A 14,449-nucleotide genomic window follows, 5' to 3' on the forward strand; every position below is an offset into this window, starting at 1 on the left:
ACTTTTCCTCTTAGACCTGCATCTCCCTAGGTCATTAGCGCATCACTGGCTATAAGATGCAAGCCGTGAGTGAGCAGGTGCTTTGCACATGGAACATTCTGTATGTATAGCCCAGAAAGTCTGAGGAGCAGGGAGTCAGCCCTAAGGGAGCTTGTCTCAGACAATGGACATTGGATTTTGACGATGGCAATAGTGGTAGAGGTAGGGAAGAGAAGCCAGTTTCTAGATACAATTTGAAAGTAGAGTCAGTAGACTTTGAATTGGTTTGAATGCAGTAAATATAAGAGATGATGATATGGAGGAATGAAAAAGGACTCTGGAAGTTTGAACCTGCAAAAAAAAAAGCCAGTGCTACTAGAGTTTGGGCACTGGGGAGAAATAGCAAAATGGTTCCAAGTTGCTCTGTGCAGTTCCCAAGATCCTGAGCCCCACCCAGTGTTATGTCCCAAGTCTCCGAAGATGGCAGCTCCATAGAATGCTTTTTTCACAGTCCTGAGCACTTGCCCTGTTTGTTACAACCTGGAGGCTTTTACTCATGTCCATGACCCCCCACACACCCCACACTTCTATCTTCATTTTCATTCTATATTGTTCAAGGAGAGCTTCCCAAAAGATAATTGTCACTAGTCCTGACCTTCTCTAATTCTGCTTTCCATTGCTATGATTGTTATATTGTTACCTTCCTTATGTCACCTTTCTATTTAAAACCGTGTGATAAGCTGTAGAATATACATTATAGCATGTCATAGGTACAAAATAAGTCCCAAAGTCATTAGCATCCTCTGTGAACATTGCTAGATATCCAGTGAAGAACTAACAGCCCCCTCCTCTATGCCACTTTTGTGGTTCATTTCACTTACCACATGATTTTATTTTTCTCTAAACCCCATTGTCTTACAACACATACCCTGTCACATGGCAGATACCCAATAGACATTTATTATATCATTGAATTTTACATTTACAATTTTACAGTTTTTCAAAAGTCTTATTTTTCTCAGTCCCATTTCCTAGAATGTAGTGGCCAGAAGTCACAAATGAAATTAGGGAGAGCAAATAAATATAGTTAAATGTGCCATAATAGGGAGTGGTGGGGGGACTTGTGACAAATCACAGAGCATGTGGCCTATCTAAAGTCATTCAAACACACGCACACAAAGAATTAACTGCTGTGTCAGCCAAACAAAAAAAGATTGCAGCAAATTTAATTTATAGTCAATGTAACTCAGTGTACTGGTAGATCACCACTTCTGATCTTCTTAACGTAATAAAGACTTCTTCCCACTGGTATGAAGTTTCTGTGTTTTGCAAAGTAATTTGTAATTTACAGGACAACGAGGATAAGTAAATAGAAAACTCCTTGGGAGGCTGCAACTAGAGGAGAAATTACCATGAGATGTGCACATGAAGTAGTCTAGAGATTCTGAAGCTCCCCTCACCCCAGCCTCTCTGTTGGAGGAGTGACCTTGCTGCTGAGTTCATCCCTGTATGCCCAGCACAATGTCTGGTACCTACAAGAGGCTCAACAATTACATGCTGAATTAATGAATAAAAAAATTCGATGCAACCAATGCCTTTCCCTTTTCAGCATACTCTTGAAGCTACTCTTCCTGACAAAACTCCAGGGGCAGCAAAGACTCCCCATCGCCAAGGTGGGTGTCAGAGACAGCCATGGGACAGCAAGTGGCTGGGCTAAAAGTGCAGCGCTCAGGCAGAGAGAACCCAGTGCCCAGCAGAGGCAAGAAATGTAACAGGCACTTGCCGTCTTTTCCAGCATGTATGGGTGGTAGAAGTGACTTCCTGAATGCTCTGCAATGCAGGGCATAGATAACCAAAGTAATATTGATGAGGATGCACAGTTAAAGCCCAAACCATGAGCATTTGCTGACCAATAGGCTGAGCAATCCCTGCAATTGGTAACCTATGGCCTGATAAAGACAGTGACACCTAATGATGGAACAAGAGGATTCAGACAGAATGCAAAGGGACACACGTCCTGGTTATGTGTTTCCCTAGTCCCTGGAGAAGAGGGCTGGGAGCTGAGGCCAGAATTGCATCATGTATTGGTTATACTTCATATTGCTTAATGGGCTTACATTATCTGAAAGGTAAATTATACTGAAAGTACCCAGTACTTCCACATTGATTGATTGATTGTTCAAACAACACCCTCAATACTCTGCAAATGGGGTTCATAGTTTATCCAAAGGCCACAAATTTCTTCACCTTCCCTACCTTGGCACCCAACTGTCTCCTGAATGAACACAGAGCATTCCTCCCATACTCCCACCCTGCCCTGCTGTATCTCAGCATCACTCTTGCTCTAGCAGTATTGTCTTTGGTGTGCTTTTTAAACAAGCTTTGAGACTTCTCTCAGTGATGAAGTGGGTGTCTTCTTTCAGTGAATTAATAAAACAGTGATTCATATTCCACTTCAATGCTTAAAAAGACTTCAGGGAAGCTTACAGCAATGCATAAACTATAGCTAGATAAAAATAATTTAAAATGAATAACAACAATGAAGTAATGGGAATAACAGAATAACAATAATGAAGTAAAGAGAATATCAGAAAAGTTGAAGCCAAGAGCATAGTTTACAGAATACAGACAATGAAATCTTATACACTTGAAATGGATGAGCCTCAAAAGTCACAAGAATCAAAGTGTCAAAAAGGAAGGGAGAACACCCTACCTGTCAAGTGGTAAAAACTATAGCATCGCTTCTCAAGACTTGAAGGGAGTCAATAAGATAATGGCTGTAGGGCACTAAAGATGGTTCTTTTAAATACGTAAATAGTACATGTTTAGTAAGTGTTGGCTGCTTGTATAAAAAGCACATGAATTTCTTGATACTGAGGCCAGGGAGAACGTACTCTTCAGGTTCTCTCCCAAAGAGTCAACTGTGTGTTGGATAATGAGCATCCTTATAGGAAATCCAGCATGAGGTCCAACAAGTTCTCATGGTGCCCCCAGAGAAGGCCACGGTGTACCACACCAGCATCCAGTTCAGTACAGTTCTGCCCATGGCCCTAGGAAGCAGGCTTCTAGTGGCTTTGTCTTCATGTACAGTCATGTGCCATATAACATTTTGGTCAACAACAGACCACATAAGACTATAACGGAGCTAAAAAATTCCTATCACCGAGTGACGCCGTAGCCATTGTCAGAGTGCAACACATCACTCACGTGTTTGTGGTGGCACTGGTGTAAACAAACCTACCACGTTGCTAGTCATATAGAAGCCTAGCACATACAAGTATTCTTCCTAATGATAATAAACGGCTATGTTACTAGTTTATGTATTTACTATACGATACCTTATATTTTACAGTGTACTCCTGCTACTAAAAAAAAAAAAAAAAAAAAAAAAAAGGCAAAAGCTAACTCTAAAACAATCTCAGAGAGGTTCCTTAGGAGGTTTTCCAGAAGAAAGCACTGTTACTATAGGAGCTGATAGCTCCATACCTGTTATTGCCCTTGACGACTTCCAGTGGGACAAAATGTAGAGATGGAAGACAGTGATATGGATAATCCTGACCCTGGGTAGGCATAGACTAATGTGTATGTGTGTGTTTGTGTCTTAGTTTTTAACAAAAAAGGTGGGTTTTTGTTTTTTTGTTTGTTTGTTTGTTTGTTTGTTTTTGAGGTGGAGTTTTGCTCTTGTCGCCCAAGCTGGAGTGCAATGGCACAATCTCGGCTCATTGCAACCTCCGCCTCCTAGGTTCAAGTGATTCTCCTGTCGCTGCCTGTAGCTGGGATTACAGGCATTCACCACCACGCCCAGCTAATTTTTGTATTTTTAGTAGAGATTGGGTTTCACCACATTGGCCAGGCTGGTCTCGAACTCCTGACCTCAGGTGATCCACCCTCCTCGGCCTCCCAAAGTGCTGGGATTACAGGCATGAGCCACCGCACCTGGCCAACAGAAAAGTTTTAAGGTAAAAAATAACAATAATAATAATAATAGAAAAAAATCTTATAGAATAAGGATATTAAGAAAGAAAATATTTTGGTACAGCTGTACAATGTGTTTTAAGTGTTTTTACAAAAGTGTCAAAAAGTATTTAAAAAGTTAAAAGTTTATAAATAAGTGACAGTAAGCTAACATGAATTTGTTGTTAAAGAAAGAAAAGTATTTGTAGTAAATTTAGTGTAGCCCAAGTGTACAGTGTTTCTAAAGTCTACAGTAGGGTGTAGTAATGTCCTAGGCCTTCACATTCACTCACCACTCACTGACTGCCCAGAGCAAATTCCAGTCCTGCAAGCTCCATTCATGGTAAGTGCCCTAGACAGGTGTACCACTTTTTATCTTTTATACCGTACCATATGTTTTCTGTGCCTGTTCCATATTCAGATATCTCTAGATACACAAATACTTACTATTGTGTTCTAATTGCCTTCAGTATTCAGGACAGTAACATGACATACAGCTTTGTAGCCTACGGACAATAGGCTATACCATATAGCCTGAACGTGTAGTAGTCTATACCGTCTAGTTTGTGTAATTGTACTGTAGGATATTCACACAATGATGAAATAAAATCGCCTAACAGTGCATTTCTCAGAACATATTCCCATCATTAGACAATGCATGACTCTATTTTGAAACTCTGTTATTAGGCACGCAGATATTTAAGAAAGTTGGCCCTTTCATAGATTAACCATTTTATTATTATGAAACAATCTTTTATCTGTAATAATATATTTTTGCTCTGAAACCTACTTTGTCTAACATTAATGTAGCCACTCTACTTTTTTTGTCAAGTGAATGTTAGCATGGTATATCTTTTTCCATTTTTTTGTGTCACTAGTGTGTAAGAACTTTAAGATTGTATTCTTCCATTTCCTTTAAAATTGTATTCTTCCATTCTCCATTTGTACTATTTTGCCATACATTTATTTCTACACATGTTATGAACTCCACAATAGATGGGTCATTTTTTAATGGTCAAATATCTTTTAAAGATATTTCAATGATAAAAACCTTTTTAAATTTGTCCCCATAGTTACCATTTCTGGAGCTTCTTCATTCCTTCGTGTGGATCCATATTTCCATCAGGGATCATTTTTCTTCTGACTGAATGATAATCTTTAATATTTCTTGTAATGAAGTTCTGCTAGTGATGAATTATTTTAGTGTTTCCATGTCTAAATTTTTTAAATTGTATCTTTGTTTTTGAAAGATATTTTGCTAGCTTGACAGGATGGTCTATCAGTACTTTAAAAATATTTTCCACTGTCCTCTGATGTGCATTCTTTCTGATGAGAAATCTGTTATTTCTATCTTTGTTTTTCTGTACCTACCTAATGTGTTTTTTTAAAATATCTGGCTGCTTTTAGAATTTTTCTTTATCACTGGTTTTGAACAATTTGATTATGATGCACTTTGGTGTAATTTTCTGTATGTCTCTTTTGTTTATAGTTTGCCTAGATTCTTGACTTGTGGGTTTACAATTTTCATGAAATTTGGAAATTTTGGGGCCGTTGTTTATTCCAGTATCTTTGCTGTCATCTCTCCTTCCTCCTCTTCAATTACTTGATTATTATACCATGTGAAGTTGCCCCAAAGTTAACTGGGTTTTTTTCCAGGGTTTTTTTTTTCCATTTCATTTTAGACAGTTATTATTGCTAAGTCTTCAAGCTCACAAATCGTTTCTTCTAATGGTTATCCCAACCAGTGCATTTTTCACCTTGGACACTGTGGGCCTTTTTATGTATTCTATGTCTTTACTTAGTATGTTCAGTGTTTCTTGTAGCCTGTTGAATATACAGAATACATTAAAATAACTTTAAATATCCTGGTCTAGTAATTTTATTACCTATGCTATTTCTCTCTCCTCATCTCAGGGAGGTCTCTGGGCACTCCTTGGATTTCCTCTCCCCGCACTACAGCCCAGAAACTCTCTCCAGGCCACGAGCTAGGGACAATTCACCTAGATTCATCCTTTCTCTCAGAGACCACTGCCCTTCATTGCCTAATGCCCAATATCTTGAAAACCATTATTTCATATATTTTCTCTTTCTTTTTTGAGGTGAGAGAATCAATGAAGCCTGCGTTACTCCATCTCGTCCAGATGTTCTGGTCTTGTCTCATGGATGATGTCAGGCATCTGATTTCAGCTCCGCCAGGCAGCAAGAAGTGTCTCACCAAGTGCTCAGCTGCAGTGGTCTTCTTACAGGCTGTAGTTTTGTTTGTTTGTTTGTTTGTTTGTTTGTTTTAATTATCTTCCTCTCTTCTAACTTTCCTGGGTCTCACACTTTCCTAATTTTCTCCTTTTCCCTCTTTCTGTTGCTTCCACCCTCTCTGTTTTTACTCTTTCTCCTTCCTTCTCTCCTGCTTCCTCTCAAACTTTCAACAAACATTCCCAGCCACTAGGTGACAGGCGCCCAGCTAGGCTCTAGGGAGACAAAGATGAATAGGACAGGATTCTGGCCTCCAATGAGCATTTTGGGTTTCTCTTTCCAAAGCCCCATGCACTCTCCTCACACATATATTCTGACAAATCACAACTGAAGACTGGGGGGGTGGGGGGACTCTCTACAAGTGTCCAGAGTGCAGTGTGTGTGTGTGTGTGTGTGTGTGTGCGCGTGTGTGTGTATTTTATAAGATGTGTATCGTTTTCAAAATTGGTCTGGAACAAATTAGAAAAAGAAACCAAAAAGCACACCAGTGTCATTCAGCTTAGTGTGAGAGAACGAGTGCACACTTTGGAAACAGACTGTGTGTCTCTTCATCGTTTAAAGTTAAGCAAGTCCCTTACCTCTCAGTTTCCTAAGCCAGAAATGAGGGAAGATAACCCAATTCCTCACAAGACCGCAGTGACTATTAAATGAGATAATGTGTAGAAAGTGACCCTGCAGCACCTGGCACATAGTAGGTGTTCGGTAAATATTGGTTTCTCTTTCCCTATTGTCTTTTTCCAAAGAACCTAATGCTGTTTGTAATTCAATGCTTTTGCCATCATATTACCACACTCTATAAGCGATAAAAACTCAAACAAACCAAAAGTTGGTGCCACCACCGTGAGTATACTCTGAGTACTTAGGTAGAAGAATTAAATTAGCATAAAGTTCGAAGGTAAAAGCTGCCGCCTTTCTCACAGGGTTAACTCTTTAGTGACCCTCTCATGGTGTGACACTGTCACCATAACTGCTGGTGTCAAGAATTCAATTGAAAACCAACAGCCTGAGGGTTTTAAAATCCTGTACCTTTAGTAAGTTATTAACTTGAGGATCACAGTGGTATTTATTACTTTAATAATGCATTTAAGGCTACTGTTGCATGCTATTGCATGCTTTTTTTTTTTTTTTTTTGAGACAGAGTCTTGCGCTATCATCCAGGCTGGAGTACAGTGGCATGATCTCAGCTCACTGCAACCTCCTCCTCCTGGGTTCAAACAATTCTCCTGCCTCAGCCTCCTGAGTAGCTGGGATTACAGGTACTCTCCAACAAGCCCAGTTAATTTTTGTATTTTTAGTAGAGACAGGATTTCGCCATGTTGGCCAGGCTGGTCTCGAACTCCTGACATGAAGTGATCCGCACTCCTCGGTCTCCCAAAGTGCTGGAATTACAGACATGAGCCACCGTGCCCAGCCCAGATGCTTCTTTTTTAAGGAGGAATTGACTTTATGTTAACTTGCTATAAAGAGAGAAGCCAATCAGAAGATCCACAGGACAAAAAGCTATGAGAGCAAAAGGGCATATGAAGACAGGGACAGGGCTTAAGGCACTGCCATGGCTTCCCGAGGCAATGAGGATAAAAGCTTATGCTGAGGTCATGATATGCCTGCCCCATTTCTCCTACATTCCCCCGCCTCCCATCTGTCTGTTGTGCTGCTGCCTTCATGTCTCCCAGGTGCCACCTGCTGTCACATCTTTAAGCCTTTGACCTTGTTATCTTCTCTGCCTGCAGCACCTTTTCTCCTTCTTCCTAGACCAACCCCGGTTCCACCTCTAATACTCAGATAGAAGCTTGCATTTCCAAGAAGCCTCTCTGACTCCCCTCACCCTTGCCCTTCAGGCTTGGTTAGATCTTCCCAAAGCTGCAGCCATCGTAAAGTGGAAAAGGAAAGAATAAGCACAGATCAATAAGGCAAACTTATTCTTTAGTTTAGTTGAGTTTACATAGAAATCTGGAATGACATTTGTTGAGAGGCTAATCCCTAAATGGATTCTGGACCATAGAGAGATTTTTCCCATAAGATCAGAGTCTAGCCTATACTTAGCAGCCTCACAATGGGAGAGTGGCTGAAATGAAATCAATGCCTGAAATGCTGGATGTGGGAAACACACACAGGAAAAATATTACAGTTATACATAAGGAAGTGGCCCCTGCTGAGTGCAGCGCATACACCAGTTCACAGCAAAGGCTCCTGTGACATCCCCACTTTAATACACACTGCCTCATCTCTGTCCTCTGCTTTTATGACAGGTCAAATAAAACTACCAGAAAACTGCAAGGGAATGTTACAAAGACCATCATGATTAAGAAGCCATTTTTCTTTTTGTTCTGGGGTGCTGAGATCTCACTGCAGGAGAATAAAGCCTGTATGATTTGGTGTAAATTCATACACATGCACACACTCGCCGCATATAAATGCAGGCAAGAACAGCCATGGGCATGAGCTCATTGTGCAGACAGATCATTTGCACATCCAATTAGGTGAGAGGAGAAATCAGAAAATCCAATTACTTCATCTCAGGTACCCTAAGTTATTATTTCCTCCCAAACCTATTTTCAGGATGAAGACCACCCTGACAATATGCAATCTGATACTTCTGTGTGTGCACTTAGTTACTGCACAATCTGTATCTACAACTCAATGCTCATATTCCAAGTTGGAATCTCTTTCAGGATGCAACCCTGCTTCCTTCAAGTATGTAGTTCGTATTAAGTTTAGAGCTTTTCTCACAACAAAATCATAGGGGAATGAGTTATATTTTCCTTGTTTCAGTCATTGTCAGTTGGGATTTCAAAACACTTATTTTACCAAGTGCTTGTTTATCATTCTAATTGGTTTATGACTGTGTCAAGATGATGAAAGCAACACAGCAATAAACAAGTAAAGACTGTATTTTAAAAATCTTAATGAATCAAGCAAATCCACATACTATCAGTTGTGAAACTAGGTGGAAGCCCAAGTCAGATGCACAGGGGTTTATTCAGCTCCTAATACCTGTGTCCCACGCAGCCCCCAAATGACAGACAGAAGCGACAATAGGCCTTTCATGACAAAGACAAAAATCAACAGTGGCCTTGTTGCTTCTCCATGGTCTTGTTTAATGGCCATGGGAAACCACTGACTACTTTAAGGCCAAATTTTTCTCTGAATATTGGTGAAATGGAAAACGTATCCCCATATCTGGTCCAGGGTATAATACAGAGTACTTGAAAAACATTAATTGAATAAGTAAATATGTATAAGATATACGTGTATATAATTTGCAGAATACGCTGGCACAGTATGTCAGAGAAATTTAACCCTGAGGGCCTCTTCTAAGAGTCATTCAGCTTTGCTGTCATCAAAACAACATCCTTCCCAGGAATGTAAGAGCAGATCAACATCTGGGAAATCTATGCATGTAATGTACCACATTAATAGACTGAAGGAGAAGAGTCATGTGATCATCTCAATAGATACAGAACACGCATTTTAGTACACTATAAATAGAAAGGAAAGAAACTTCCTTGAATTGACAAAAAGTATGTACCAAAGCCTATAGCAAACATTATAATTAATGGAAAAACTGGACTTTTTAAAATTAAAAATAAGACAAGAATTATTATTACTACTATTGCTTATGGTACTAGAGGTCCTAGCATATGTTTTAAAAAATGATACATAAACGAGAAGGATGTTAGGACAAAAAGGCAAACTGTCATTATCTCCAGGCAACATATTCCTTATGAATAAAATACAACAGAATCAACAGATAGACTATTAGGATCACTAGTATTGTTCAGGAAGAAAGCGAAATACAAAATCACACAAAAAAATTAACAGCATTTTTCCACACAAGCAATACACAACTAGAAGATACAACTTTACGAAAGTCATGATAGCTACAAACATTATAAAATATCTGGGAATTGACTAAAGGAATACACAAAATTACTATTTTTAAATAGAAATAATATTTTTAAACTCTAACAAGAAATCTAAAAGAAGATCTGACAAATGGAGAGAATGTCCTTGTTCTTTAGACAACACCAAGTCTGGGACATGGAGAGAGGATCAGGCTCTGCCGGTGGGAATATAAAGTGGTGTGGTCATCATGGAGAGCCATCAGATTCGCCACACCTATGTCCTATGACACAGGAATCTGGTGGTCAGGTTCAGATCACCAAGAACCTCCCACAAATGCTCAAGGAGATATGGGTAAGAATCTTCCCACCGCACTGTTTGGGATCTGGAGAACCAGAGACAGTCTAGGTGGCTACTCTTGTGGGAGTCGGAAAGCATCATGTGTGGGATAAAATACTCTGCCACCACTGGAAGCAAGAGACAGGAGGCACATGCAGCAACATGAATAGATCTTTAAGGCACTCATACTGAGTGGGGAAGAAAAAGAAACAGAATGAGATCAACAGCCGAATACTGTTTATGCAAATTAGAAAGCATACCCACAAACAAACAATACATATACATTTTTCAGCAATACATGCTAATAAACAGATATATATAGGATATTGTATATTATATTTATTATATATATATAATATCTTAGCATGGTTGCTGTAAGGGAAGAGTGGGAGGAGGCAATGGAAGTGAGGAATGGGGATTTGGAAATAAATGATCAATCAATCAATCATTTAACTCTCGAATATTCACAAATATGCCAGCAGATGAGGCACATGATCAAGCTCAACATTTGACTTTATTGTAGATTTTGTTATTGCTTCTATTATGCAATATCCATGCTAGAATATATTTTATCTACCAAGCCAGTACTAGAATATATTTCAGCCTCCATGCCTATTCAATGTATCTAATTTCCTTCTAAAGGAAATAGACAAGTTGTACAAGAAAGCCTATGACTTCCTTTCCTTCCATACTTTAGAGAAAAGTTGTCATAACCCTACACTCTACAAGAACATTTACAGCTTTAAAAAATGTATTCAGTTATACTTCACCCCATTCAAAAAAGAGATGTGATGGCTACAGAAGGAATTGTAGACTATAGAAAAGAAGCAAAGAATAAGACAAGAGAAAGAATGGAAAAAGAAAGGGTTCATAATAGAATAGTGAGAAATAAAACTAAAAATAATAATTGTATCATTTCCTACCTAAATAAAGGCTTGCAAAATGAAATGTAGAGCTTGGCAGGAAATCGTTTTTTGAATTTGCCTGTGATCTCATGTACTCCAGTGTGACGCGGACTTGAAAGATTATGTTATCTGATCTCAACCTCTGTCTTTGCATTCTTCCCTGCTATAGTGCCCAATGAAGCTTGTGCACATACCTTCACGGACAAACTTTCAGGACTAGCTGCACACCAAGGCTCCATCTGTGTTGCTCTACCCCCATCTACTGATAAAAGCCTGCTACTTCTGCTACTTCTCCGGGAAAGCCTCCTCGTCAGTCCTCTTCCTGAGCGAGCTCTGTCTGAGGACCATTCGCAATAGAACGAGAGGATTCACTGCTGTTGTAAATCACTCCACCTTGGAAACTTTCAGGTCAATGTGGTGTATGTTCCAAGAATAATTAATAGTGTTCTAGTTTACTAACTGGTAAGTTACTTTTTTCCTTTTTTTATATCACTTTTGACAATCAAAGAAAAGACAATTATCACTTGAAGCTGTTTTCCCTTCTTTCTTTTGTTTTTTTTTCAAAGTGGGGTGTCAGTTTAATTAGAAAAAAAAATCACACATGTTGTGGTGGTTTTCAGAACATATTGTTATTCTAAATGTGTTGCTGTTGAATGGGTTTTTGTTTGTTTGTTTGTTTTTAAGCTTCACGGATCATCTTTCCACTGGCTTAGAGGGAGGTAAGCATGGCAGTAAATGAGATGCTTACGAAGTGGTTAGGATCCTTCTTGGATGGAGTTCCCCAGCTGGCAGCTGGGGTGAACGGACTTTGAGTGTTTCTGAGTGCTGGAAGAATATTACAGATTTGGTTGAAAAAAGTAGGAGACTTTGCATCTCCACAAATTCATGACGGGAGGCTTTGTTTAATTAAATAGCAATGATTTGAGAACAAAATTATAGCAAATTTTTGTCAAGTTTATCACTTCTGTGAGTCTATTCCTCACCCCACAAACCAAAAGAGAAGACAATTCACCTTTAATTTTGGTCTGCAAGATTAGTCGAGTCTGAGAGAAATTAAATGTCAATTTTTATCTTGGTTCATCATAGCTCTTTAATCAAAGTTGATGCGTCACTTCCCCTGGTTACCCCTGCATCAAAGGCTGACCTGAAAACCTGACACCAAGCTTCCCTGCGCGGGCTGGCTAATTAGGAACTTACTTGTTCCACCTACGGCCTTGGAGAAAAGGGGAGGGCGGAGCTGCCCCAAGGAGGTGGCCTCTTTATGGAGAAGGGTCCAGGAAAGAGGTCAGTGGTAATTACCAAGCCGCAAAAGAGCCCATGTACTCTTTGGACATTATTGGTTCATAAAATGTCTGGAGATTTATTCTAGAAAACAGAAGTCTCGTGTGTTGCATGTCAAGCTGAACTAAATCAGCCTGGCGTGATGAACTAGAGGACTGTGTCGGGACAGTAGGAAAGAATCCATGAAAAAGGATTGTCCTTGGCTTAGGGTGCAACCCAACTCTCCCCACATCAGCCATGTGGTTCTTTCTTTCTTTCTTTCTTTTTTTTTTTTTTTTTTTGAGATGGAGTCTCGCTCTGTCACCCAGGCTGGAGTACAGTGGTGCAATCTCGGCTCACTGCAACCTCCGCCTCCCAGGATCAAGTGATTCTCCTGCCTCAGCCTCCCCAGTAGCTGGGATTACAGGTGCATGCCACCACACCCAACTAATTTCTTGTATTTTAGTAGAGACAGGGTTTTATCATCTTGCCCAAGCTGGTCTCAAACTCCTGACCTCGAGCGATCCACCCTCCTCAGCCTCCCAAAGTGCTAGAATTACAGGCATGAGCCACCGCGCCCGGCCTGTGGTTCCTTCAAATAACGTCGTGGTTGCATCCTAGGCTAGTTGAACTTCACAAGTTCAACTCAAGGCCTCTGTGAAAGGAAAAGAAAGAATTTAAAAATGGAAGGAAATGCTGCCCATCAGTACACTTAGGAAGCGATCGTCCCAGAGGAAGAAGGAGATGGAAATGGGACTCTGTCGTCCTCTGCACAGATCTCAGGGTTTTTCGTAGGTCGTGCCCTTCTAATTGAAAGTAGTCAATTGCTTTATCTGGAGCTCAGTTGAAGAAATAATGGTTTATTCCAAGTTGAGAGAGCAAATATGTTGTGTTATGGGCAACCTATATGTTGGTCTCCAAAGCAGCAACTCCATGAAGGAATTTCGGCTGACTGGACTACATGGAGTTTTTGCTTTGTATGCTAACTTTGGAACCCAGCCCCACAGAGGGGGCTTCTCCACTCCACTCAACTCTGAGCCTAAGCTTTCTCTCCATAAAGCAGAGATAGTAGAAGTACCTTTCTGTTGAGAGGGCACCCAAAAAATGCCTGCCAAACAGGAGGTGCCCTGGAAGAGCCCATGAGCATCAGGTGACCTAGATATGGACTAGGGCTCCACTGCTCACCACCTACTAGCCCTTGCTCCAAGGGTGAAATGAGGTGTGTGCATATGATAGGCTCTAAGGTTCCTTCCAGCCTTGCTCTTGCTTCACTTCTATCTCAGTGACTTATTATACCTTTTCTTTAGAGACAGAGTCTCACTCTGTTGCCCAGGCTGGAGTGCAGTGGCACAATCATCACTCACTGCACCCTTTTATTCCTGGGCTCAAGGGATCCTTCCACCTCAGCCTCCTGACTAGCTGGGACTACAGGAGCATGTCACTGCACCTAGATAATTTTTTTTTAAATTTTTTGTAGAGACGAGGTTTCACTGTGTTGCTCAGGATGGTACCAAACTCCTGCTTCACACATTCCTTCCACCTCTGCCTCCCAAAGTGCTGGGATTACAGGTGTGAGCCACTGTGTCCAACCTATTATACCATTTTTCATATTAGCGCTGTATGATTATTTATTGGAAGAATATCAAAAGGGATATAAACAACCTTTCTATCAGAAAACGCTGCACATTTTCAACAAAACTACAGCAGAATCCCAGTGGAGAAGACACTTACAGAGTGAGCATCTGTTGAGAGTTTGCTTTGTGCCAGGCACTAGGCCTTCTTACAACCCTCACACCATCCCTTGAGGGAGGTACTGTTATTCATGATTGTGTGAATAAGGAAAGAGAGGCAGAAACTTTTAGGAAACACTTAGCTTAGGGAGTGGTGGACCTGGAATTAAACATACTCTTTTAACCACT

General features: G+C 40.3%; 1 annotated feature.

Moving 5' to 3' along the window:
* Window positions 11,586–12,785: an enhancer, noted in NCBI's record as "CDK7 strongly-dependent group 2 enhancer chr15:98721449-98722648 (GRCh37/hg19 assembly coordinates)". NCBI's record gives its function as "activates an origin of replication core promoter dependent on BRD2, BRD4, P300/CBP, MED14 and CDK7 cofactors, with strong dependence on CDK7, by STARR-seq in HCT116 cells {active_cell/tissue: HCT116}" and the evidence as "EXISTENCE:reporter gene assay evidence [ECO:0000049][PMID:35650434]".

This window comes from Homo sapiens, chromosome 15 (assembly GCF_000001405.40).
Source record: "Homo sapiens chromosome 15, GRCh38.p14 Primary Assembly".
Classification (NCBI taxonomy): domain Eukaryota; kingdom Metazoa; phylum Chordata; class Mammalia; order Primates; family Hominidae; genus Homo; species Homo sapiens.